We start from the raw sequence: 27,120 nt of genomic DNA, 5'->3' as shown, positions 1-27,120 counted from the left end.
ACTGATGTCATCTACCACCTGCCTTACCTGTCGGTGGGCAATTTTCTCACCCAGGTTCTCCCAGAGGTGTTTGAGTTCTGTCAGTGGTTCTCGTATAATGTCTCTGTCCGTCTCATCAGTAGCTTTCTTTAACATCAGTTCACCCTGGTGATTAAGCTTCTCCATCTCAATTTGCTGTTGGTAAACTTCTACTTTGAACTCCTGTCAAAGACACACTCAATGTTAACATCAAATCAAGCCTTTAAAAACTATAATAAAACAATTCTTCTTCAAAAGCCATACCCAGATACAAACCTTCATTTCATTTAACTGATCTTTAACAGTATTGAGGTCAGTGCCAACAGGGGGCATGGTGCAGAGTTTAATCACAGTGTTATCTAGCCAGTCAAACATAGCCTAGAACAAAAGACAAGTAAACAGTCAAAAACAACCAGAAGAATTTGGGAGAGAATTAGCATTATCTCTGCTAACATAAGAAGACATAAATCAATCAAAGCACCTTGTGCTGTTTGTGATTTCAGGTAAGGGGCACAGATAAAGAATAATGATCTTTATATTAATAATATGGTGATTTAATAATGGAGCCAACATTATCAAGATAATGTTCAAAATAAACTACAATTTGGAAATACTAAATTTGAATAAAAGTGAAGATTTTTCAATCCCAGCTAGCAAGCTCATGATGTTCTGAAGCAACTGTGCCAAACTGTGCTTGAAGATAACCTGGGTTTGGAACCTCTGGCAAGCAATGACTTTCACAGTAAGGCCAGCTTCACAACGTAGCTGAATGAATCTATGATGAGCAGGCAATGATAAACATGGCAGGAAGAGTAAGAATTCAGACAGATGTCGCTACTTTTTTCACTACAAGTGGGGAACTTTGGCTAAATTTGTGGAAACACCACTATCTTAGGTCTGCAGTCCTGTGAAGGTGATCCACTTTTGTGCTTAATTCCAAAAATGACAAAAATGGCAAAAAACAGAACCTGTATTTCCTTGGTGGTCACCTCCTGGCCTCTCACCTGAAGAGTGTCCTGATACTGCACAGCAGCTTGCATAGCATCCTCAAGTTTTTCTAGCCTCTCTTTCCATGTTTTGTTTAAGTTCTCCCAAGCATTATTCATCTAGGGGAAAAACATTCAATCAGATTCTTCAATCAATACCACTCTTCAGTCTGGGCCCACTAATGTTCTAACTGAGTGCCTCATCCATTTCTCCACACCTCATCAATGCTCTTCCTCACTTCAGGCTTCTCAGTTTCTCCACAGGCAAAAATCAAATCTGCTCCAAGGATCCGAATAAACTCCAGCTCTTCATGCAGACCATCTGTCTCTTCCTTAATAGTCTACATGTAAACGAATAGAATATAAGCCAAAATAGAAAACAGAACAGAACTTACCAAACTTTGCAAATGTGATTTATACCCCATCAATAGCAGATGCTCAACATAACTGTCAGTTTCACTTATCTGGACACTAAAGCTTCAGACTCTACATGGTTATTTTTCATATATACAAAATATATATTACATATAGGTATATGTATATATAAAATACTATAGAAAAGGTATGGTGAGGTTCAATAATTTACCAAAGGTTCACCCCTTCCTGCCTCCAAAGAAATTATAATCAACAGCTAGAAGTCTATTACAGAGAAACATATCAAGGGTAAAATAACACAGTACAAGTCACAAATTTAAGTGCTGACAATAGAGTATAACAGAAGTGCTGGGGTCTATGATCTTGAAAAAAACTCTGTGCCAGATCCTAAAAATTGGCTCATGTATTGGTATTGACCCAAGGTGGGGAGGGAAAGAATTTCTCTATGAAAAAATAGCTGAAATAAAAGTAAGAAATTAGAGAAATAATATCAAGATAGGCTTGGCTTATGCTAAATGGACAATATGAGGTAAGAAATGTTGTTGGTAAAAAAGAGACTCCTGGGCCAGGTGCAGTGTCTCACGCCTGTAATCCCAGGACTTTGGGAGGCCGAGGCTGGAGGATTGCTTGAGCCCAGGAGTTCTGGACAAGCCTGGGCAACATGGTGAAACCCCATCTCTATAAAACATAAAAAAATTAGCCAGGCATGGTGGCATATGACCCAGCTACTAGGGAAGCTGAGGTGGCTGGATTGCTTGAGCCCGGGAGGTGGATGCTGCAGTGAACCAAGATCATGCCACTGCAATCCAGCCTGGGTGACCCAGTGAGACCCTGTCTCCAAAAAAAAAAAAAAAAAAGAAAAGAAAAGAAAAGAAAAGAAAAGAAAAGAAAAATAGCACCAAAAACTAGAAAAAAGTATGTCAATGTAACAACTGTTATCTCTAGATAATGAGTCCAAAATTGATTTTTATTTTCTACCATCTATTTTTCTACATTTAAGAAATGTAATATAATGAGCAGGTTTTTTTCAATTGGAGAATGTCTCACTTAAAAAGAAACTTTAGGCCTGGAGTGGTGGCTCACGCCTGTAATCCCAGCACTTTGGGAGGCCAAGGTGGGTGGATCACCTGAGGTCAGGAGTTCAGAACCACTCTGGTCAACATGGGGAAACCCTGTCTCTACTAAAAATACAAAAATTAGCCAGGCATGGTGGCACATGCCTGTAATCCCAGCTATTCAAGAGGCTGAGGCAGGAGAACCACTTGAACCTGGAAGGCGGAGGTTGCAGTGAGTCAAGATCATGCCATTGCACTCCAGCCTTGGGGACAAGAGCAAAAAACAAAAACAAAAACAAAAACCTTTAAGGTACTCAGCCTGGCTAAGCAGTTAACATACCTCACTTTGATTTGATAAAGTGCTTTTTCTAGAGGACAGACACCTAAGAAAAAGGGTTTTGTTTCCTTCTTACCTCAGCAGCTTCAACCTGTTGTTTGATGATGGAAGGATCAATGCCTGGGCTTTCCAAGTCATGGACAATATCCTGGGTGTCTTTGATGGTGGTCAGGAGAGCTGCCATGTCATACCAGAACTTCTCTGCTAATTCAAGGACATCAAGAAATTTGATTTCTCGTTCTTCAGCCCGAGCTTTGATGTCCTCCCAGAAGAATACCATTTGATCCAATTTATCCTGGATTTCTGAGGAGGTTAAAAAAAGAGATATGAATAGGACTTTCTGAAGAGCCTGAAATTGGTCTATTCAGAAATTCCATGTAACTCTGACCTTTTCAATGAAACTATTTTTTAAAAAAATGCTAAGCATTTATAACTAAAGGATAATTTTCTATTTTAGTTTTACTATTATTTCTTTTTCTTTTTTTTTTTTTTGGAGACAGAGTCTTGCTCCTGTTGCCCAGGCTGGAGTGCAGTGGCGCAATCTTGGCTCACTGCAACCTCTGCCTCCCAGGTTCCAGAGATTCTCCTGCCTCAGCCTCCCAAGTAGCTAGGATAACAGGCATGTGCCACCATGCCTGGCTAATTTTTGTATTTTTGGTAGAGTCGGGGTTTCACCATGTTGGCCAGGCTGGTCTCGAACTCCTGACCTCAGGTGATCCACCCGCCTCGGCCTCCCAAAGTGCTTGGATTATCAGCATGAGCCACCACACCCGGCCTATTATTTATTTCTTTTTTTAGAGAGAGGGAATTTCACTCTGTCACCCAGGCTGGAGTGCAGTGGTGTGATCTTGGCTCACTGCAACCTCTGCCTCCCAGGTTCAAGCGATTCTCCTGCCTCAGCCTCCTGAGTTGCTGGGATTACAGGCGCATGCCACCACACCCAGCTAATTCTTGTATTTTTACAAAATTTCACTATGTTGGCCAGGCTGGTCTCGAACTCCTGGCCTCAAGTGATCTGCCCACCTCAGCCTCCCAAAGTGCTGGGATTATAGGCATGAGCCACTGCGGGTGGCTCCGGCCTATTATTTATATACTAGCGTTTTCCTCTTACATTGGTATCCCACATACAGGGATCACAGAAGTAATCCAGAAATGAGCTATCATCTACTATAAAGGTAGTGCTAAGATACAAAACCCCTAACTTACAAAAGGGCTAAGATGAGAACTCTTGTTTCCAGTGTTCTGTGTTAAACTTGTATGTTTCCCATGGAAAGTGTTACAAAAGGTAGCTATGTTCTACCCACTATTGATACTGTAGTTTACTCACGTTAGGGGTTAAAGGAGCTTTTGTTTCCTGGCCTGGGAATCTAACTACCAATTGTAACCTTGTTTCAATGGCGAAATGTGTTCTGAATTCCAAATGATTTTCCAGTGACTTTCTGGAATACTCATTACTGGGGACTGCCTTTACATTCAAAGAAATAAATAAATCTGGTGGGATGCTGAAGATAACCACAGCCTAGAATTTATTCTGTTGATTTTTAAAAATAATGACAATCATCAAGCACCTTTTGCAGCCAGATCCTTGTCTGCTCCCTGAGATCGTCCAATAAGCTCCTCTCCACGGCGCTTCAAGGCCTCAAAGGATGGCTGCAGTTTTTCTAGCTCCACGGTGGCACTCTTATTGTCACTGATGCACTCTCTGATCTTGTCTACTTCAGCAGGGATCAGTGGTGGCATACGCAGGCGAGAGGAAAGATTCTCCAGTGTCTCCAACATAGGCTCAATTTTATCATGAAACTAAACAAATGTTGGAACATTACCATCACAGCATACCTCATCACTCTTCTTGGAGAAGTGTTAGGGAATAAGGACAAGATATTATCCTACTACTGTTTAGGATAACCTGTGCTCAGTTTAGCCCAATGGCTATTAAGTGTTGAGTTTGGTTAAGAAACTGTTTTGGGCCAGGGGTGGTGGCTCACACCTGTAATCCCAGCACTTTGGGAGGCTGAGGTGTGTGGATCACCTGAGGTCAGGAGTTCAAGACCAGCCTGGCCAACATGGTGAAACGCCGTCCCTACTAAAAATACAAAAAATTAGCCGGGTGTGGTGGCGCACGCCCGTAGTCCCAGCTACTAGGGAGGCTGAGGCATGACAATCACTTGAACCCGAGAGGCAGAGGTTGCAGTGAGCTGAGATAGCACCACTGCACTCCAGCCTGGGCGACAGAGTAAGACTTTGTCTAAAAGAAAAAAAAAAGAAAAAGAAAAAAACAACAACAAAACTGTTTTGGGCATATACAGAGCTGGCCCATTAAAAAAAAAAAAAGCCAATATTTATTTTAAGAATCTAAATATATGAATATACTAGAAACCAATTCAAATCTTTAGTGCTGCCACAATATTTCTCCTATTCCAACTAATGTAACAAAAAAGGGACAAGACTATGAAACTGCTGAGAGTCAGTATGTCAACATCTGAGATGACAGTTGCATGCAACAGACTAGACCAACAAGTTAGATGCCCTCCACCAGCTGTGTAAATGGATGGGAAACTTAATATGCTACACGACTTGTAGTTTAAAAGTAACATGGCATGCAGTTTAACGACCCACCTTATGGAACAATAAGAGAGAAAAAACGTTGGAATAATGAAAGGTAATTAAGGAAGACCAAATCTAACCTTATTCTTGAAGAATTATTACCTTCCCACTTTTCTGTTACTTTGAATAACATGACTACAACTGAAAAGTTCTCATTAAAATTTGATGCAGAGAGGAGAGAAAAGAGCAAAACAGATAAGCATGCCTCCTAAGAAAAATCTATCTCAAACCAACTCTGGTTTTAGTTAAAGAAAGGCTTATCAATTTCAAGTGTCCTATAGAAAAAACATGGTGGGATTCCTTAACAACATCACTTCCCATCACTCTCTCACTTCTAGGTTCCACCCCAAATGAAACTGGCATAATAAACTGCACTAATTAAATTTATTCCACTAAAGTTAAGGGAAATTCCCTTACAGGTAATGACCTCAATTTTCAGCATTATAAGAACACCCTAGTCCCAATGGGGATGGGTACCTTACCTCTGTAATCTGTAATGGTGGGCGCGGTCAACACAACAATGAAATGTGACGATGTGGGGAAGACAGGAGCAGGCAGCAACAACACAAAGTAACACATTCCACAATGTGAGTGAGAGATGGGACGGAAGGTGGGGGGAGAAACTTGAGTAAGTACAAATATTAACCAAGAATATTGACTAAACATAGGAATAAAATACCCAGACATGACAACAGTACCACTAAGAGTAATATATTAGTTGAAAGTATGTAGTTACATGCTTTAAATCCCTCTGCTGGTTTATGCTTCTCTTTGGCTCTTACTACTCCTTACTCAAGCATCTTAAACTATGAGTTAGCTGGTTGCTTAAGAAAACTAATGTGCTGTTGCTCTAAAGCAAAAAAGTAACAGGTTCAATAAGTACTTTTTTGAGGCAGTCACTGCTTTTGAATCTGCAAGGTAAATTTATCCAAAATCATCTGCTAAAGGATCATCACAACATAAAGTTTTCAGAGAAACCATCAACAGACAATATATACCAGCCAAGACTCATTTCACTCTCCTTAGAATGTCAGTATGCCAATGTTCCTTGGAATAAAAATGAAGATAGGCTAAGCTTTCTGTTCTATCTACCGATCACGTATTAACATGCTGCTCTGGACATTCCTGAGCACAGAGACATACCTGATACAGAGACCTCTTGTTTAGAACAGTAGACAATTCAAGGTTATGAGTGTCAGACACACACATACCTGTGTGGACTGGGACACGGCTTCATCCAGAGCCAGGGCTCGCTGGCGCACCTCCTCCTTTATTTGGGCATACATGTTTTCTGCTTTCTGGTATTTTTCTTCCACCATTTCCCCTTCCTCAGGGTTTAATTCCTTTAGTTGTGGGCCTATCTTTAGTAGTTTGTCAATATGAGGTTTGTGTTCAGCAATAGATTCCCTTAATTGCTAGGTAAAAAAAGAATTAAACCATAATGAGTACTTTTATACCAGTTTATGTATTTAGATACTTTGATCAGAGCTAATATCAACTTTAAGAGGAACAAACAAAATTGTTAAAAACCAGCAAGGCCCAGCATCTCACCATTTGTGTGGGAACAGAAAAACACCTAAGTCTTAGGTTCTGACATTACCCAATTTAATTTTTGAAAGTCAGTTCTGATGTCTCATCACCCTAGCAGCCTTCCTGGAAACATCCTCTCTTCTCTTCCCCTACCAGCTGTGTCATACAAGTCTACTCCACACTCTTCTGTAATCATAAGTACTTCTATGTACTCTATTTTACTCTACATGGTTTAATAATTGTCTACCTCCCCAGACTGAGATACCAAGCTGGATAAGCTATGAATAGCAACATTTTTGGCAATCCAACCACTCCTTGACTTTACTGCTGACTACGTCCAGTTTATACACTTCCACTTATAAGAATAGCAATAAGCACAAGCCATAAACCAGAAATAAACATTTTGAAGTGTCATTAACTATACAGAGCAAATGTTTTTTGACATTACCTCATGGCTTTCACTCCAGTTGGTGCCTAACTAAGTAGAAAGTACTGTCCAACCATACCTTGAGTGTAACAACACCCTATTATCCCCGGAAATATTTTAAATTCCATTGATTTTTAGTGAGTTCTTTCTTTAGTTCTGTCATTCTAAGGTTCTCGACATCTCTATAATCTTAGTGTTTAATCAATTGATATTAAACAACCAAGGAAATAATTCAGATTATGTATTATGAAAGGAATTCTAACTGATTAAGAATTAACTTCGTAACACAGAACTTGCACCTATAGACACTAACAAATGTTGTTTTTAAATAAATTATAGAGACCATTTTAGAACAATAAAATGAAACTTGGCATGCTCCTTACCCTCATTTCCTCTTGTTGCTGCCTGAGCTGCTCATGATCAATGGCTGGAGAGGGTAACTGTGCTATTAGTGCCCGAGTTTCCTCAATCCAGGGGCTGAGCTCTTCATAAGTTTCCCAAAACTGGTTTACTAAGACCTGGGCCCGCTCTAGGCGGGCATAACGCTCTGAATTGAGTAGGCTAATGGCTTCATATTGCTGTATTAGAGACTCTGTCTTTTCCTATGTGAGCAAAAAAAAAAAAAAAAAGGATAAGTATTACTATTATAAACTCTTAAGAAAAAAAGTAGGTATATATACATTAAAAAGTCTAAAAGAATACATAACTAAATTATTTTAAAATATCAGTAAAGATTACAAGTGATTTTTATTTTCTTCTTCATACTTATCTGAAATTTTCTAATTTTCCTATCATACATATATTTTATTTCTATAATTTTTAAAAGATAAAAGTTTAAAAAGCAGTAAAATAGTATAAGAAAAACACAGCAAAATTAACCTTTCAGTAATGATACACAACCTTAGATATAGCATTATTATTATTATATATGTTTTTGAGACAGAGTCTCACTCTGTCACCTAGGCTGGAGTGCACTGGCGCGATCTCAGCTCACTGTAACCTCCGCCTCCTGGGTTCAAGGGATTCTCCTGCCTCAGCTTCCCAAGTAGCTGGGATTACAGGTTCCCACTGCCACATCCAGCTAATTTTTGTATTTTTAGTAGAGACAGGGTTTCTCCATGTTGGCCAGGCTGGTCTCGAACTCCTGACCTCAGGTAATCTGCCCACCTTGGCCTCCCAATGTGCTGGGATTACAGGCGTGAGCCACCGTGCCTGGCCAATATACCATTATAATGGATCAGTTTAAAACTGAACATCTAAGGGGCTACGATGGAATCTTTGCCTATCAAGTTTTGCCTGTCATTTTTCTTCTGATTAAAAAAAAGTCTCCAGAAACCTGCCATTTATGCTTCAAATGTTTAGGATGAGTAGCTCAGTCAGTTTATGAATATTTCTGAGGAAACTGTGCTTAAACATATCCTTTATGAAACAAAACAAAACGAAATGAAAAAACTTGTCTACAAACCATCTTGACCAATCCTTTTAAAACTAGGTACGACCTTTTAGAAGGATATAATGAAGGAATTAATATCTGCATATGGTTCTGAAAAAAATCTACCATAAATACCTTGAAAAGTAACTCAAAGCTTGCTCCCTGTGGAGTGAGGATAAGTAGCAATTCCCCTGTTATAAAGAAGATGGATTTGCAATATATTTCACATTATATAGGATGGCTGTTTTAAACATTTGTGGACACAGGGTTAAGATTCTGAATTCCCCAGAACATCAAGCTGGACTTTAATAACAATCATAAGAAAAGTCCAGGAGGGAAAAAGCCTTAAACCATCATTTCACAATTGTGCTTCTAATTCACCATGATAAAAACAGGAACAATATGGCAAATAAATAAATGTAATTCACCTGTAATACAGTTTTTTGCTCCTCCCCACATGTGCCAAAGATTTCACTACGGTGACTGAAGAGTTCATCCATTGAATCTTTGTGTCGAATAATGTCAATGGAGAAAGCCTTTGAAAAGTAAACTGTAGTTAAGAAGTAAAAAGACCCTTTTCCTGTTATTACTAAAGGTTAAGACAAAATCTATGAAAAAGCCACATCAAAAATTGTTCTTATACAGTTTGACACTTTGCCTATCCAACATCTTCTCTAGCTTATCTTTTTAGTAGCTTACAAAAATTTCTATCAAGGAAATTGCTAATTATGGATTAATGGGCCTATTTTTCCTTTCTCACAAAGCAAAAAAAAAAATTCTTCCTCATCTCAACCAAATACATAGAAAATTAATTTCTATTTACCATCATGCCACTAAATTATTCCACTTGACATGGGATAGTCAGAAACTCTCCTAGTCACTCTAAGTTACTGATGATTCTATTAGCTCAGGAAAGAGTGGGCACGTACCTTCTGTACCTGAAGCTGAGCTGTGGTCTGGTCCTGTTCCAGGCGAATTGGACCCAGAGCCATCAGTTTCCGTTTTGTTTCAGCAACCCAAGCTAGTTCTGCATCGGCAGCTTGCTCATACTAATAGACGTATTAAAGAAAAATAAACAAATTATATACAGCCAAGTCTCCACATAACTGCAATTTATTCAACAAAGCAAGGCCTGGATTTTCAGTAATACAGTTTATATCTCACAAAGTAGAGTCAAAACTGGGAAGAATTTCATAAAATCACAAATCAAGATGCAAACAAGTTAAAACTGACCACATTTCAATTTCTTTAAAGTAAGTTACAGAACTCAGTTTCTACAGCTAGAAATAACAGATATCAATCCCCTTCAAAAGAAAGATGCCTCTAATCAGTGTTTTTATGAGACTACACTCTTCCTGCCATTGCTCTTTCCTACCCAGACATGGAACAGTAGTAGGTTTAGTCAGATGTTTAAATATAAACCTAATATGGCAGTAGACGGATGAGTCAAGTTAACTCGGAAGTGCCCGCTTAGCTGAAGCAGCATAAGACCCCAAAAGAACAACACATTTTTAAATGGTTATGTAATAACGAAAACCAAGAACATGTTCTACGTGACTGTTAGTTTCATGAGGGCTCCCCAATCCTCCATCCTTCCCTGCCCCCTCAGAGACAGGGTCTGATTCTGTTGCCCAGGCTGGAGTGCAGTAGCACAATCATAGCTCACTGCAGGCTCTAACTCCTAGGCGCGAGTGATCCTTTCACCTCAGCCTCTCTAATAGCTAGGACTACACAGGCAATTGCCACCATGATCGGCTAATTTTTAAATATTTCTGTAGAGATGTGTCTTGTTATGTTGCCCAGGCTGGTCTTGAACTCTTGGCCTCAAGGGATTCTCCTGCCTTAGCCTCCCAAAGTGCTGGGACTACAGGTGTGAGCCCAGTCTCCTATGCCTGACCTCTCCAGTCTTTTATCTCTTCCTCTTCAACTTGGCCAATATACACTTACATTTAAAAATACGCTTCTCCCAAGCACAATACATTTCATATTGAAATATCTGGCCAAGATAAGGGATAACTCTAAAGACACACTGGGGATATACCTGGACTCAGAGCAAATTTCTGTGTGATTCAAAAAGCATATGTTCATCACTATGATCCTAAGGAGTTATATTAACTTATTTTTTGTACTACGGCACATTAAGAGGTGTGTATCCAGCTACACAAAAGAACAAATGATTTTTTTCCAGAAAGTAGGAAGGAAAAAAGATCAAGGGAAATATGACACCTGTGTTTACTGAGAAGGTTCTATTTTAGATAGCTCTGCTATTTTGGTTTGCATATTTGATAGTAATTCCTTCCCCCTCTTCCATCTAATGCTAAGAGAGTTAATTATGTCAAACTAAGATTGTGGTGCATTTGGACCTTTTGAATCTAGATATTATCTACTCCCATCACCATCAGCCTTCTTAGCAGGGCATTAGCTAAGAAAAGGCCTCATGTAGACTCTTCTCCAAGTACTTCTCTACTCAAAGGGGTCAAGTATTTTGGTCAAATTCTGGATCCATCCTCACAAACTTCTACCCAATCATTTCCCATCAATGAAACATATTTATTCCACCAGATTTAGCTTGAGCCCATTCTTATTTCTGAGTCTGTATTTATGTGGGTCATAGTACTGTATCTCACACATCAATACTGTCTAAAATATTAATGCAGAGGTATTATAAGCATTACCTGTTGTGATCTCTGAATAGCAGCATCAATTTCATCCACCCTTTGTCCAATAGTGTCACTGACTAGTTTGTACTGCTCGTTAGCATCGGACACAAGTTTATCCAGCCCTTCTCTGGCTCTCCAGGGCACCAGCTCTAAGAGAGCACGGCTCACCTCATTCACTGTGTCCAACACCAGCCTGTGCTCCATGACCTCCTTCTTTAATTCCTAAGGAGGGAAAAGAGTTTTCAGGCCATACCTTGCTAAATAAAGCACATCAGCAACTGTGCTGGGTGGAAATTGCTATCTCTACCACACATCCCAGCAGGACTCTGACCTCCTTCCTTCAGTTATTTTTTTCTCATCTCAGATTTTTCAATCATTCTGAAGCCTGACTTTAGACTTCATTGTTGCTTGCTTAGAACTGCCTGTAAGACTTTTTGAGCCACATTGTCTCTGGGTAAAACAACTAATACTTCTTTCATCTCCTTACTTCAACAGAAATGATAAATAATGCTTTAACCAAAGGCTCAGTATTTAACCTAACAAGTACCTATACAATATTTCTATGCATCTAGAACTATACTAGATCCTGCAGAGAAATCAAATAAAACCATGAAGCACTCTTTAGAGAATAAATAATAGAGGTTAAAATGTTACAAAGTAAACTTGATTCAACTTCTTTCTTCTTCATAACATATGTGTAACGTATATGTCTTTATGTCAAATCTTACTGTCCATGAGTAAACAAGAAAGGGGGCACATATTTTTAGTTTATATTTAAGGTAAAGGTTGATAAAACTTAAGGATTCTGACAAAGAGGAAGCCTTTTTTTCTTTTTATGGTAAAGTAACAGCTCACCTTCTGTCTCTGCTGAAACTGGGGTATCTGTTCCCCTGTGGGAGACTGTCCTCCACTGGTTGCCAGCTCCTCCTCCACCTCCCTCAGCCACCCGGTCAGTTCCTCATAAGTAGACTGGAACTTGGTGGCCAGCTGCCGGGCTTGCTCTAAAGTTCTGAGGGCCTTGGAGCTAGTAACTGTGATGTCTGCGTAACGAGTCTTTATACCATCTAGTTTTTCCTGGATAAGTAACACCTCCTCACCTATGGAAGATAGCACACAATTACTCATATTTAAGAGACCTAGGAATGAGGAGTCTCTGATCCCCTTTCTTCAAATCAGAGCTTTAATTTCATAGACGCTCTCTCTCTCTCTGTGGTAATGATTTCACCTATCCCATACTAAGGGCAAATGGGAAATAAAATAAACTTTCCACTGGATAAAAGAAGCCACTTCTGAATTATTAAAATCTGAGTTCAGCGTCAAGTGTTTCTAGATGTTTCCAGCACCTTTCAGTGCATGTTGGCATTCAAGATACTGAAGGAGAGGAGAAATCATCATCTATAACCAGATGTGAGATAACTTAGTTTTCAAAAGATTTAGCAGGAAACAACCTTCTGGAGCACAGTAGGGAATACAATCAGTGAATACTAAGCTTCTCATATATACATAAAGAAGAGGCTAAGGCAGGGAACTCCTTTCCTTGGGTACATAATTGTCTTTGAGACCATAGGGGTGCTAAGAGACACACTTTTCAAAGTACCTGTGGTTTGTTTTAGAAGAGCCTGACCATTTTTAATAGCTTGATCTACATTCTTCTTTCTATTAACAATTTCTTCATTTAAAGCCTGAAAGGAAAGAATACCATTAATCCTGAAACTGTGGCACTACAAATGAAACAAAATGCGAGACCTTTAAGAGATCAAATTTAAAGTAAAGAGATGAATACTAGTTTAATTTAAACATCAGATATTTGATCCCCTCATCTTCTCCTTGGTTAGCCCATTGACTATTCAAAATAATTAAATCAGATACCTATAGGCAAGCTTTCCTATGCGCTGGATGAGAAAAACTTAGAATTACATCAGCTTTACCAATTATTGGTACCAAACCTGAACCCAAGAAAGGCAGAAGTGAAATTGAGCAAAATTGTCTACTGTGTCCAAAATAAGGAATAAACAGAAAGTTCAAGAGAAGAAATTCAGTAAGAACAGACTGACTTAAATCAGAATCCTGGTTAAAAACTCTCTTCATATTTAAAGTTGACGAAGCAAAAGAATCAGACTATTAGAAAAATTACCTATTTTTACTCTCCCAAACAGATTTCATAAAAATGAAATGAAAAAGGCAAACTCTTCTATTAAGATGACACAGAATCCCCGGAATTTGAACAAATCCAGAAATATCCTAAAAGTTTTTTAACTGTATGATCAAATCCTGGGCACTACACAGATAGATCTGGTTTTGTTAAAGCACATTATCTTTCATAAAACTGCTCAAATAGAATCTTAGTGACCCATCACCTAATAATGTAAATCATGAGTTGGAGTTCAGATGGCCCCTGACTATATACCCTGTACCATCTTCTAGAATTACTGATTTAACTTGTTAAATATAAGTATTTCCATGGACTCATCCAAAAACAGATTAGCAGTCAGCATCAAGTCCACTAACTATGCACTTGTGTATAAAATAAAGTTGAAGTGTTTGTAATGAAGAAAAAAAAATAAATGAAGAGAAACATGAATCAAAATAACAAAATAACAGAATAACATAACCAATAAAAATGGAAACATGAATACCAGGTGGTCAGCATGCTGCCTGTGCAGGACATCCTGTTTGAAATCCTTTACGAACACTGAACTGAGCTTGTCCTCAACCTCAGCCAGCCAGTTGAGCACCTCCACCTCATCCTCCCCAAACAGCCTAGCATTAGACAGAGCTTGGTCAAGTAGGGCTGCCTTCCGACAACAGCGGTCTTGAATTTCACTGTATCGGGCCTGCAATGAGTCTATCTTTTCTGACAGCACACCCTGTTCTGCAGGAGATGTCAGGGAGGAGAGGGACTGCCCAATTTTGACTGCCTGGTGCACATCTGTTGCATGGTTTTCTATGTCTTCTTCCAGAGCCTGGAAATCCAGATGGAAAAAATGAATAACAGAAACAAAATAAATGAAAAGTAAACACAAAATGATGAATAACAAATGATACAACAAATTAAACAATTAAAAAACTCACCGACTGAAAGGCAAAAATAATATAAAAATTGGGAACAAAAGCTGTTTATTCCGGTGGTAGCCTATCAGTCAATTTCTATTTGTATTTCAAGAATGTGACTTTTCCAATTAATAATCTGACCATATTTTAAGTTAAACCCACAAAACACACATCCTCTAGAATGCTGCAGGCAGTTTACTCATTTCTAGGATTTCTAATTCCAGTTTTCTATTTTCATTTACTGTAACCACTCCCTACCTTGTGCCGAATGATCTGCTGCTGTATTTTGGCAGTCTGAGTGCCAACAGGTTCTGAGTTAGCAAGCTTTTTCTCTGTGACAGATAAGAAGTCAGAAATAGGCTCAGCTGTCTCATGGAACTGTTTGGCCAGAACCAGGATGTCTTCCAGCTGTTTTTGCCTACACAAATATATAGAACAAGCTGCTCAGGAAGAAAAGTCACATTAAAACTGGTAATAGTACTATACTCAGTAAAAGAATAGTCTTTTCCAGGTATAGTTTAAATACCAATAGTAAACAGAACACACGTTATGTAGCATTTCGATGTTTTAAAGGATTTCACACCATTAACCTTATTCTCATTCTGTCATAACCTTGTAAGGTGGACAGAATAATTATCCCCCATTATAAAAGAATAATTATCCCCCTATTATAAAAGAGAAAGTTCAGTCAGAAGGCTTAAAGAAAGATTTGTCCAATCACCTGGTGAGTAGCAACAGTAGAATCAAATCTTCTAATGTTCTCCTTATTTAACACAAATCAAAACAGAATGTAGTATATATATCACCTGAACATCTGACCAAAATAAGGTTTAAAGGAGGCAAAAAGTTGTCTGTTTTCATTCTCTCTGTCACTACTACCTTCATTTATGAGTGAAGATATCTGAAGAGTAAAGACTGTATATTGCCTATGAACTAGAACTCCCTCCCCAACTCCCCAAAATCCAGTCAGGCTTCTGGTAATTTCAAGCCCCAGAACATAACTTTGAATCCAGATTTAAGGCAAAAAAACAAAAAAGAAACAAACAAAAAACCTCACGCTGGCTGAATTTGCCAACACAAAAAGCACCCCCCCCAAAAAAAAACCAAACAAAAAAAACTACAGACTTTATAGCTCACTTGGAATCTTAACTCTTATTTAATATAAGATCCATAACTAAGCTTGGCTTTTCCTGGGATACATGACTGTCACTGAGACCAGAGAAGTGCTAAGAGATGTACTTTCCAAAGTACCTGTGGTTTGTTTTACTCTATAAAATAAAAGCAGCAAATTACAAAGTGAGGAGGAAGTCTGGATATTGGAGATAGCCTGACAAGGAACAGACAAGAAAACAACCACAGAACTGTATTAGCATGCAGATTAATAATGAAAGGTCATAATGTTGTCTTTGAATTACTAAAAACAGACTAAGATATGGCATTTGAAGAGGCCTGGGAGTATATGATGCACTTAAGTTCAGCAAACCTTTACTGAAGACCTAATTTACGCCAGGTCCTATGCTAGTTATGCCCTGACAAAGTTATTTTAATAAGAAGTGGTTTAAATAAAAAAAGTTGGCATTTTGATTACTGGAAATTCAATTATGTTTGAATATAAAGAAAAACATATTTTTTAAGTGGCAATCTAAGTCTAAAACTTTCTTTCCTAGTTTGTTTATGCCAGCCTTCAAAATATATCTTCAAGTAATGCAACTAAAACATACAATATTAAAAATTATTATTAAATTTGAATTTCATTTTTTAAAAATTGCCTCTAATTTTTATGTCTTTCTTACTCATTTGATTTTGGAATCTGAAAATTTGAAGAATTTATTGTAATAAGATTAAAGGTATTTTTAGGGAGAAGAGCTAAAAATAATTTAGAAGCATCAAATATCTACTCTTGTTATTTGTTTCTATTTAAAATATTGGCCCAGAAACTATATTAGGCTAGGAGGATGGAAACAAGTAAAGTAGAAGGAAAGAGTCATAAAAATATGCATTAGATAAACAAACCATGACTTTAAGGAGTTTATGGACCAGGAAGGTAAGTACATAAAATAATGATCATAATACAAGGTACAGATAAAGAGTTATGGCAGTGAAGAGGCAGGAAAAATTATTCCATGATTGAGGAATAAAGGTAAGTTTTATAGAAGAGAGAGAGCTGGACAAAAGCATTTCATGAAAGATGTATTATAACCCATAAAATAAGACACAGGGTTAGGACATTGTCAGAAGATATTAAAGAACAGAATATAGTTTACTTCAGCTATAATATTAAGGAGTGAGAAGAATAGTAGAAGCTAAGAAAGGTAGGTTAGGGTCAAATAGAGGGCTTTGAATGGTGTGTTAAAGAGTTTATATTTTATTTTAAGCACCTTCTTAGCACGGCAGGCAGTGTGTCAGCCTCATAATCTAAAGGTTTTATTCTAACAGGGAGTCAATTAAATATCTCTGAGCTTGAAAAGATATGATTAAAGGCTTATTTCAGAAAGGTTCATCTGCAGCTGGGGGATGGGAAGGGGAAGGCCCCAGGGTTAGTGGTAGAGTGATTAGTGAAGAAGCTATCTCTATACACCTAGTGAGAGCTCGTAAGTCATGAACTGAGGGGAGAGTGGGAATTAGAGAAACAGATGGACAGGAAAGACACTGTAAAGTAAAATAGACAGAATTTAGCATGCTGATCGATGTGGGCACAAAGGAGAAATTAAAAAAAGAAAAGTAAAAATGGAGTCGAGGTTTTAAGCCTAGGAAACTGGAAAGCTAATGGTACCATTACTGGAAATGGACAGAGAGAAAAGAAAATAAGCAGTACAAATCTGGAAATACAAGTAAGTTAAATTCTTTCCATTTTGTTTCTTCCACTAACATAGGCAAGCCATACTTTGCAACTCAGGTAAGGAATAAGCCAAGTCATGGGCAGGTGGACATAAAAAGACTGAAGAGGGAATTATTTGAAGACTGCCATAGGCTACCTAGGAAATGTAAAGGATACAATAACAAATGATCAGCTCTCTTATTGATTTCTCATTAGCTGGTATTTAATTTTAAAACTGAGGACTGTATAAAAGTAAAGACATCTATGTGACTTATTAAGCTCAAGTCACAGGATAACTTATAGCTATGAAAAGAGAAAGGGAATATTTCCTTGAAGGAGGATTTGTTGCCTGTCTTTTTGACCATTTATTGAGGTAAGTTCATGCATCTCTTGAATTCCCAGATATTTAACAGAACCACAGACTAGCTCCTAAAGGCAAAAAAATCTAATATTACTATAAGCTAATAGAAAAGAAATATGACACATTTCAATTCCAAGTATCAAAAGCATTATTTATAAATATAAGAGGGGGAAATCTGTTTGAAAAACTCAGAAAATAACTCGGCTGGACTGTAGGAGTCTGTGTCTGTCATTTGGAACTATGATTATACTACAGCAGAACAACCACACAGAGCAATGAGTTTTCCAGCTCTCGGAAATTTATGAAGATGCTGGAGACCATTTCCTGAGTGTGATTCTGATTATGAGGATCATCTCTAAAATCTTATCCCATTTCAAATAAAAGCCATTAAACACCTTCCAAAAATCTATATGAATCATCCAAGAACTTATAGTGATAATAAGTCGAAGAAGAACAAAACAAACCTCTGACCCACTCCTCAAAATTCCTTTGATCTTACCTGGCTGCTGCCTTACTGAGTAGTTCAGTCCATCTACTTTCAAGACTCTCCAGCTGTCCAGTGATTTTCTCTCTATCAGCCAGCTCTGCTGACTGGGCTATTCTGCCTCCTTCTGCTTGAAGCATGTCTACTGTGGCCTTTCGATCATCTAGGAGCCGCTGGAGCAACTATTATAAAGAGAATGAAAAGCTGTAACACAGGATCATTTTGAAATCTGAACTAGGAAGAAAGAAAAAAAACAAAAGAAACCAACCCGCCAAATCCTAAGCTTCATTGAGTAAAAGAAGTTTTTTTCATCCTTGGGGCAAAAACAGGAGATATAGCACAGTTCTCACCACTCGTATACTTTTCACACACTTAAATTTTTAAATGGAGCAGTGACTGTCATTATGTGACTAACAGGGAACTTCCTTTGAACCAAGAGAAAAGTGCCGTAAAAAATGGTTAACATTTGAAGTGATGAATATGTTAATTATCTTGACTACGGTAAACATTTCACAACGTATATGTATATCAAACCATCACATTGTATATTATAAACATTTTTTTTTTTTTTTTTTGAGACAGAGTCTCGCTCTGTCTCCCAGGCTGGAGTGCACTGGCTCGATCTCGGCTCACTGCAAGCTCCGCCTCCCAGGTTCACACCATTCTTCTGCCTCAGCCTCCCGAGTAGCTGGGACTACAGGCGCCCACCACCATGCCCGGCTAATTTTTTGTATTTTTAGTAGAGATGGGGTTTCACCGTGTTAGCCAGGATGGTCTCGATCTCCTGACCTTGTGATCCGCCTGCCTCGGCCTCCCAAAGTGCTGGGATTACAGGCGTGAACCACCACACCCAGCCAAACATATACAATTTTTATTTGTCAACTATATACCAATAAAGCTGAGAAAAAAATAAAATTTCCTTTGGGATAAATTTTTTTTAAAAAGAAAAAACTGCACTAAAATAGAAATTAAACCAACAAAAAATATAGATAAAACTTTGTACATGATATACAACACTATTTAGAATATTGCTGACCCTGAAAACACCAAAAACCTCTTAACACAAAATTGTAGATGAACACTGAAATAGGATACATGAACAGGTAAAATTATTCAGTCTAATATATGCCACAGTAAACCAGATTTAAGTAAGATAATGAAAATCAATTTCCACCTTTCTTTTCAGGACGACACAAAGTAGTTTAGGATTCTACTAAAACTCCTGAACTGCTTCTTAAACTATAAGCAAATGTGTTGTCTACTACTCCCTACGGCTGTTACAGTTCACTGTCCCAACATTCTCACTTACCTTCTGTTCTTGGATCTGTGCTTTCACCACTTTATACTCAGCAGATGGAGGTTTCTGATTGGCTATGAGCTCCTCGGTATCTGCCAACCAGCTGAGCAATGGCTCCAAGGCATCTTGAAACTTCCCACAATGCAACAAAGCTTCCTGTAGCTGTGCAATTCTTTGTGCGACCTGTATCATGAACATGTAGGTTCATTATGAGAACGGAGAAAGTAGTTTTCAAATTACTACTGACCTCTTTTAGTAATTATAGATTGCAACTGCTAAATTTTTATTTCCATTCAGGTTTCGGGAAACCTTAGATTCAGATGTCTCTTTTCTATGCCTTCCGTTTCCAGTACACTTGCTACCCCATTGTCACTCACCTTTTTATTCAATGTATTCCATCGAGCATTGATCTCTTCCATGTCATGTTCTAAACCCTGTACATCACAGTCTTTTCCTGCACTCTGAATTAATCCCTGGCCAAGTCCATTCACCTGCTGCAATTTCATCTGAAGAGGATCCACTTGTTCTTTCTGAAACATCTAGATAATTACAAGCCAAAGAAGATTTAATACAAAGGCTATTAGACTCTCTATACCACGCAGAGACTGGTTATTCTTGGGGCATTTATGACTTAATGAAAGACGACCAGGAATAAAAAGAAAGAACAAGCATTTGCACGTGAAGCATCAAGAAAACATGTGGTTTTGTATTTCAATACATTCTCCTATGGACATGTAATTACAGAGAGTTATGACACTACTTAGGTCTTTAACCCAATGACTCTTTCCTTTGTTCTTTTTTTTAAAATCTGTTGCTTAATTTTTTTTTGTTTTTTTTGGAGACAGAGTCTCGCTCTGTCGCCCAGGCTGGAGTGCAGTGGCGTGATCTCGGCTCACTGCAAGCTCCGCCTCTCGGGTTCATGCCATTCTCCTGCCTCAGTCTTCTGAGCAGCTGGGACTACAGACGCCCGCCACCATGCCCAGCTAATTTTTTTGCATTTTTAGTGGAGACAGGGTTTCACCGTGTTAGCCAGGATGGTCTCGATCTCCTGACCTCGTGATCCGCCCTCCTCGGCCTCCCAAAGCGCTGGGATTACAGGCGTGAGCCACCGCGCCCGGCCTGTTGCTTAATTTTTAATGCAAAAAGCCATGGAGAATAGAAAAGCATCAACCTCGAAATGCTGTACAAGTAAGCGCAATGTATATGAATCCTAAAAGAGAAGAATAGAATAATACCAAATGACTAGTATTTAAGATGGAATATCCCTTGGGGAATAGCCTTAACTGACCACTAATAAGAAATGCTCTTCTCTGACTAAGACTAATAACTCAATTAGTCAAAACATATTAACAGTGTGAAAAATGCCAACCTCATAGCTTAATCCTCCTGTGGCCATTTAACTTCATTCTGATCAAGAGCCACAGATCACACACAACAATAATCTTGAAACAGAATTCCTCTGATTACAAAGGGAAATGGGCCAGTAACGTTGGGAAATGTCCTTAATAACTTCAGACACACACTCTGAGTAAGATACAGATTTACATTTAAAAAACTGCTCAAAAATGATACTGTATTATCCACGTTTACCATGGTGCAACAGAATTTTAAAACAATGTGAATAGGTGTAACAAGCAACGTGTATATTTTGCTCTACTACAGTTAAGCTCCATTACGATTTAGACATGTCTAAAAGGAAAAAAGGGTCAGAAGAGAATGGTACTTCTGCCACATTAAGAGTATGAAGTGGCCGGGCACAGTGGCTCACGCCTGTAATCCCAGCACTTTGGGAGGCCGAGGCGGGCAAATCATGAGGTCAGGAGATTGAGACCATCCTGACTAACATGGTGAAACCCTGTCTCTACTAAAAATACAAAAAATTAGACGGGCATGGTGGCGGGCACCTGTAGTCCCAGCTACTCGGGAGGCTGAGGCAGGAGAATGGAGTGAACCCGGGAGGTAGAGCTTGCAGTGAGCCGAGACTGAGCCACTGCACTCCAGCCTGGGCAACAGAGCAAGACTCCATCTCAAAAAAAAAAAAAAAAAAATTGGGTTTCTCTCAGTTATCAGAGGGATAGAACCAGCTATATTTCACTAGCCTGGATTTATTTCCCTTCCTTTTTCTTCCATGAGCCAGGTGAGTCAATTAAGGCCAGAGGATGACAGAAAATGGAAGAGGACAAAAATAAATATAAAAGAAAATGATAAGTTTGAGTAAGACCAATTTTGGTCAATATGAGACTACAGACCACACTAGGATTAGGAAACTGATTCTAGAAAGAATGGTCTATGGCTGGCTAAGATTACCAGGGAGGGAAAGCCCCAGGGAACACTGAAAAAGGAAGGTTATAAAAGTAATTATGAGTGCACTTCATTTTTTTACTATAATTTGATTATACCATATTTTCTTAGGCAACATTACAAAGCAGTTCAGTTAAAATGACTATTTCTCCAACAACATGGTTCCCAGAAAAAACAACTGCTATAATTCCATTTTGTAGCATTAAAGATGTTTCTGCTGAAGAAAAATCAGATAGAGGCAGGAAAAACATCCCAAGTTTAAAGCTGCTTTTGGTACAATAAAATGGTGGTGGTGAAGGTGAAGGAATGAAAAGGCAAAGAAGGCAGAAAGCCAAGGTATGGAGGGAAGATGTCAAGTCCACATTACAGGGCCCTCTTTTACTCAATAACCAAATCCTATCTCACTCTACAACTGACATTTAAATTCTTTCTGTGCTTTCCAACATGACAGCCAGCAGCTACATATAGCTATTGACATTTAAATTAAATTTAAAATCCAGTTCCTCAGACCCACTAGCCACGTTTCACATAGTCAAAGCCACATATGGCCAGTGGTTACTCTACTGGACTATTGATAGAGAACAAATCCATCTTGGCAGCAAGTCCTACTGGACAGCACTTTAAATGACACAGAAAAGTAAAATAGGCTAGGCAAGTGGCTCATGCCTGTAATCCTGGCACTTTGGGAGGCCAAGGCAGACAGATTGCCAGAGCTCAGGAGTTTGAGACCAGCCTGGGCAACAGGCGAAACCTCGTCTCTACTAAAAATACACACACACACACACACACACACACACACACACACACACACACTAGCCAGGCATGGTGGCGCACGCCTGTAGTCCCAGCTACTTGGGAGGCTGAGGCACAAGAATTGCTTGAACCCGGGAGGTGGAGGTTTCAGTGAGCCGAGATCATGCCACTGCACTCCAGCCTGGGCAACAAGAGAGAAACTCCATCTCAAAAAAAGAAAGAAAGAAAAGTAAAATTATATTTAAATAGTTCAATAATCTCTTTCATATACAAGCTGAATATCCCTTATCCAAAATGCTTGGGAACAGAAGTGTTTCTGATTTCAGATTTATTAAAATTTTGGAATATCTACATTAAATACTTACCGGTTGAGCATCCCAAATCTGAAAATCTGAAATCTGAAATGCTCCAATGAGCATTTCTTTTGAGCATCATGCCAGCATTCAGAAAGTTTCAGACTTGGGAGCATTTTGCATTTTGGATGTTCAATCTATAATAAGAGCTACTGCAACTTTAAACTTTTGGATTTACTTTGTTTACAAACATTTCCTATAGAAGCATTAGCTATTCCTTCATTTCTCACCTTCACTCTATGGATTGACAGGGACAATGGGTATTTGTATCATTTCTCATAAGTTAAAACATATATGAAAGCACCTCTAAATATTATCTATTTTGAATAAAAGTGAACAGAACGTTAAAGAACGTACATTTGAAAACACCTGCTTCCTTCTGTCAACTCCCAAATAAAGCTGTTTTGCAAAACCAGTGCTTTTAGATACACTAAAATTCCTACTCCTTAGTATTTCACACACTGTTAGTGAAATAGGACTGTGTCATGTTATTAACTAAGCAGTACTGGCAGACATTTTCCAAAGAAGTACACTAGTAAAAATTGTTGCAAGGTTGTAAGATGCAACTAGGACACAAAATAGAAAATTTCCCAAAGAACTCCTTAAAACACTTTTATCTTTGTTACTGCATTTTTTTTTTTTTGAGACAGGGTCTCACACTGTTGCCCAGGCTGGAGTGCAGTGACATAATCTCAGCTCACTGCAACCTCTGCCTCCCAGGTTCAAGTGATTCTCTCACCTCAGTCTCTCAAGTAACGGGGACTACAGGCATGCGCCACCACACCCAGCTAATTTTGTATTTTTTGGTAGAGACAGGGTTTCACCATGTTGGCCAGGCTGGTCTTGAACTCCTGACCTCAAGTGATCTGCCTGCCTGAGCCTTCCAAAGTGCTAGGATTACAGGCATGAGCCACGGCATCCAGCCTTGTTATTGCATTTTTCCAGTTTTATCCTGACTGATTCTTTTCTGTTGTCCTTTGTTTTCTTTCTCCTCTTCTAGATCTCTAAATGATCTTTGGGGGTGGGAGTGAGAGAACGACGTCAGTCCTGGACTCTCTTCTCTTTCTATATTCTTCCTAGGCAATTCCATCAATTTCTGTGGGTTTAAATACTAACCACAATAAATGCTTATGACTCTCAATTTGTCTCTCTGAGTTTCAAAGCTACGTATCCAACTGCTTTTTTAATATCTCCATGCAAAAAAATGAACCACAGGCATCCCAAGCCTAACAGTTCAAAAATGAAACAGTGTCTCCCACTTTCCCTTACCTCTTCCTTAAATCAATAATTTATACTATCCACTCCACTGTACAAACCAGAACCTAAAAGTCACCCTTGATAACTCCCTCAGCCCCAACACAGAAGCCACAATCAGATCTTGTTGATTTTACCTCCAAAATATATCTTCAATCCACCCTATTGTCTTCAAATCCATTGACATCATTTTATTCAAAGAATTTGCCAAAATTTCTAACTATGTATTTATTTTATATTTATTTATGTGTGGTTTTCTTAATATCTGCCTCCTCCACTCAGTATAAGTTCCACAAGGCCAAGGACCATGTCAATTCTATTTACTGCAGGAGCCTAGTACCTGGCACAGAGTAGGTACTCATAATATTTACTCAGGCCGGGTGTGGTGGCTCATGCCTGTAATCCCAGCACTTTGGGACGCCGAGGCAGGCGGATCACCTGAGGTCAGGAGTTCGAGACCAGCCTGGCCAACACAGTGAAACCCTGTCTCTACTAAAAATCCAAAAAAAAAAAAAAAAAAAAAAAAAAAAAAAAAAAATTAACTGGGTGTGGTGGCACATTCCTGTAATCCCAACTACTTCGGAGGCTGGGGCAGGAGAATTGCTTGAACCCGGGAGGTAGAGGCTGCAGTGAGCCAAGATTGTGCCACTGTACTCCAGCCTGGGCAACAGAGTGAGACTCTGTCTAAAAAAAAAAACAAAAACTTTTTTTTGTTCCATGAATGAATGAATCCTTGTACACAAACGGTGTTAGGGAATGCAAAAAACCAATGAAGATTCTGCCGATCAGCAGAGCGTTCAAACACTGAACTGGAATTGTGGTGCTCTCCAATTTTTGCTTAAAAAGACTCCCTTGGCAAATTGTAATCTTATAGAACCCTTATTTTATACAAAAGGTTTTTTTCTTCCTTTGAACCAGTGGCTGGGATTAAGACTGAAGAGGTCTATAAATAAGCAGGGAATTTACATAACCAGAGATTGGTCTCAGTAGGCCTCAGATCCCATTACAGAAAAAGCAAACGAGTTTTTGGCATTTTAGTTCTACCAAACTCTGTTGTTATTGCAATTACAAAGTTTATATCTATTTTAACCATGTATCCATGTCTGCACTTGCACATATACATACAGACATAGAGGACCTCAGTTCATGCTAAATCACTTGTTGAGTTCTAAGTATTTATATATAAAAATGGCAGGTTCAGTTGCCTCTTGGAATCCTAAGGGAATGGAAGAAATAAAAAATTAACCTCTCATCTTGGAAAAACCTTTTAAAATAATATTTCACCAATTTAGCAAACCTGTATACTCATGTTAACTCTATAATGATTTGTTTTGTTTCAATATTTTCAAAATGGCCTCTCTACATTCTTGCTGGTTAACAGTCCTGGCTGAGGCTCAGATCTATCCTTTCCTGTACACAGATATAGGCATTTGCTCACTTCCAGATATTCCACAAAGTAACCACACTTCAAAGATGGACAACTTTGCAGCTGGGCTACCATTTCCTTCTCCTGTCATTTACATCAGGCAATATTTCATAAAAGGATTACCTCCTGTAGCTGGAAGGATAGTTAGAGATTATGTAGCCATCTACTCATTTTGCAGATGAGGAAACAAGGATTCCAGAGACTGATACAGGATTTCTATGACTTTTTCCCCTTTATGCAGATTTGATTGCCTCACTATAAATTTAATCCTTATATTTCATGATTACTGCTATATAAGCTTTATACTGGAGATATTCTGTTTTTTTTTTTTTCTTTTTATTTTCTCAGAGATGGGGTCTTACTATGTTGCCTAGGCTGTTCTCGAACTCCTGGCCTCAAGCAATCCTCTTCCCTTGGCTTCCCAAATGTTGGGATTAGAGGTGTGAGCCACTGTGCCTGGTGTGAAATATTCTGTATTATCAAGAATGGCTCTGTTGTTGACCTACTGTCTTCACTTTGTACAGGCTATTGGGATCTCGGTGTCATTCCAAATTCAATAAAACTCGGAAAAATGAATCAAAAATCCATCAGTCTCAAAGATGATGCATCCTAATTTAATGGAATGCTACCTGACAAAATAACTGGTAAAGCTCAAGGTAAAACCACCACCACTCAGCAAGGCCAGATTATCTTAATCAATCCTCTTAATCAAAGAGTTTATGGCATGCAATCAAAATGATTTTGTTGTCAGGACCTGCATGTTTAGCTGGTGCTCTAGCTGACTTAAGGCTGCCCTGAAAGGCTCTGCAGTGAGGTGAATGAGAAAACCCATCTTTCTTGTAGCATCCATCCATAGTCTAGGAAATTGATATTCATGCATTCAGTCAGTCAGTCAACAGCAAATGCCTGCTATGAAGAAGGCACTATTTTGAGTCCTAGGGGCGCAGTAAAATCAAAACAATCTTCTCACTCAGTCATCTCTTGTGTTCAGATTAAACCTCTAACTCCTGCACTCTTTACCACTGACCAAATCAAACCTGGGTAATTAACTGTGGAAAGCTGCTGATCTCAAATTCCTTGGACTAGGAGTGCTCAAGGATGTGGAACATCGTTTCCAACTGTTTCCTAACACATTCGGTTCTCTAACATTAAGAATCTTAGAGCCGGCTGGGCGCGGTGGCTCACGCCTGTAATCCCAGCACTCTGGGAGGCCGAGGCGGGCAGATCATGAGGTCAGGAGATTGAGACCATCCTGGCTAACACAGTGAAACCCGTCTCTACTAAAAAAAAAAAAAAAAAATTATATATATATATATACAAAAAATTGCCGGGCGTAGTGGCGGGCGCCTGTAGTCCCAGCTACTCGGGAGGCTGAGGCAGGAGAATGGCGTGAACCCGGGAGGTGGAGCTTGCAGTGAGCTGAGATCGCACCACTGCACTCTAGCACTCCAGCCTGACTGACAGAGCCAGACTCCATCTAAAAAAAAAAAATAAAAAGAATCTTAGAGCCAAGAGAGACCCAAGAGGACATTTAGCCCAATTTTCTTGTTTTATAATGAAGAAATGAGGTCCTGGAAAGGAAAATGACTTGCTTAAGG

General features: G+C 38.8%; 1 protein-coding gene across 3 annotated transcripts in view; it reads right to left on the bottom strand.

Annotated features, from left to right (window-relative positions):
• The window catches only part of MACF1 (microtubule actin crosslinking factor 1), a 402,972-nt gene that overhangs the window by 44,791 nt on the left and 331,061 nt on the right, over positions 1–27,120 (bottom strand). Inside the window, exons 53-71 of one of the 3 annotated variants that reach the window (NM_012090.5) lie at positions 19,813–19,974; positions 19,448–19,618; positions 18,154–18,320; positions 14,734–14,893; positions 14,061–14,387; positions 13,022–13,106; positions 12,280–12,521; positions 11,440–11,646; positions 9,694–9,813; positions 9,193–9,300; positions 7,716–7,934; positions 6,587–6,790; positions 5,858–5,866; positions 4,340–4,571; positions 2,848–3,074; positions 1,223–1,345; positions 1,023–1,124; positions 295–396; positions 28–201 (exon numbers count right to left, since the gene is read on the bottom strand). In NM_012090.5, coding sequence (NP_036222.3) covers positions 28–201; positions 295–396; positions 1,023–1,124; positions 1,223–1,345; positions 2,848–3,074; positions 4,340–4,571; positions 5,858–5,866; positions 6,587–6,790; positions 7,716–7,934; positions 9,193–9,300; positions 9,694–9,813; positions 11,440–11,646; positions 12,280–12,521; positions 13,022–13,106; positions 14,061–14,387; positions 14,734–14,893; positions 18,154–18,320; positions 19,448–19,618; positions 19,813–19,974 — 3,141 coding nt within the window. The remainder of the gene's footprint in view (positions 1–27; positions 202–294; positions 397–1,022; positions 1,125–1,222; positions 1,346–2,847; positions 3,075–4,339; positions 4,572–5,857; positions 5,867–6,586; positions 6,791–7,715; positions 7,935–9,192; positions 9,301–9,693; positions 9,814–11,439; positions 11,647–12,279; positions 12,522–13,021; positions 13,107–14,060; positions 14,388–14,733; positions 14,894–18,153; positions 18,321–19,447; positions 19,619–19,812; positions 19,975–27,120) is intronic. The other 2 variants (NM_001394062.1, NM_001397473.1) reach the window with 2 other exon arrangements.

This window comes from Homo sapiens, chromosome 1 (genome assembly GCF_000001405.40).
Source record: "Homo sapiens chromosome 1, GRCh38.p14 Primary Assembly".
Taxonomy (NCBI): domain Eukaryota; kingdom Metazoa; phylum Chordata; class Mammalia; order Primates; family Hominidae; genus Homo; species Homo sapiens.
The sequence above is the reverse complement of the archived record's forward strand: the minus strand, read 5'-3'. Positions and strand labels throughout refer to the sequence as shown.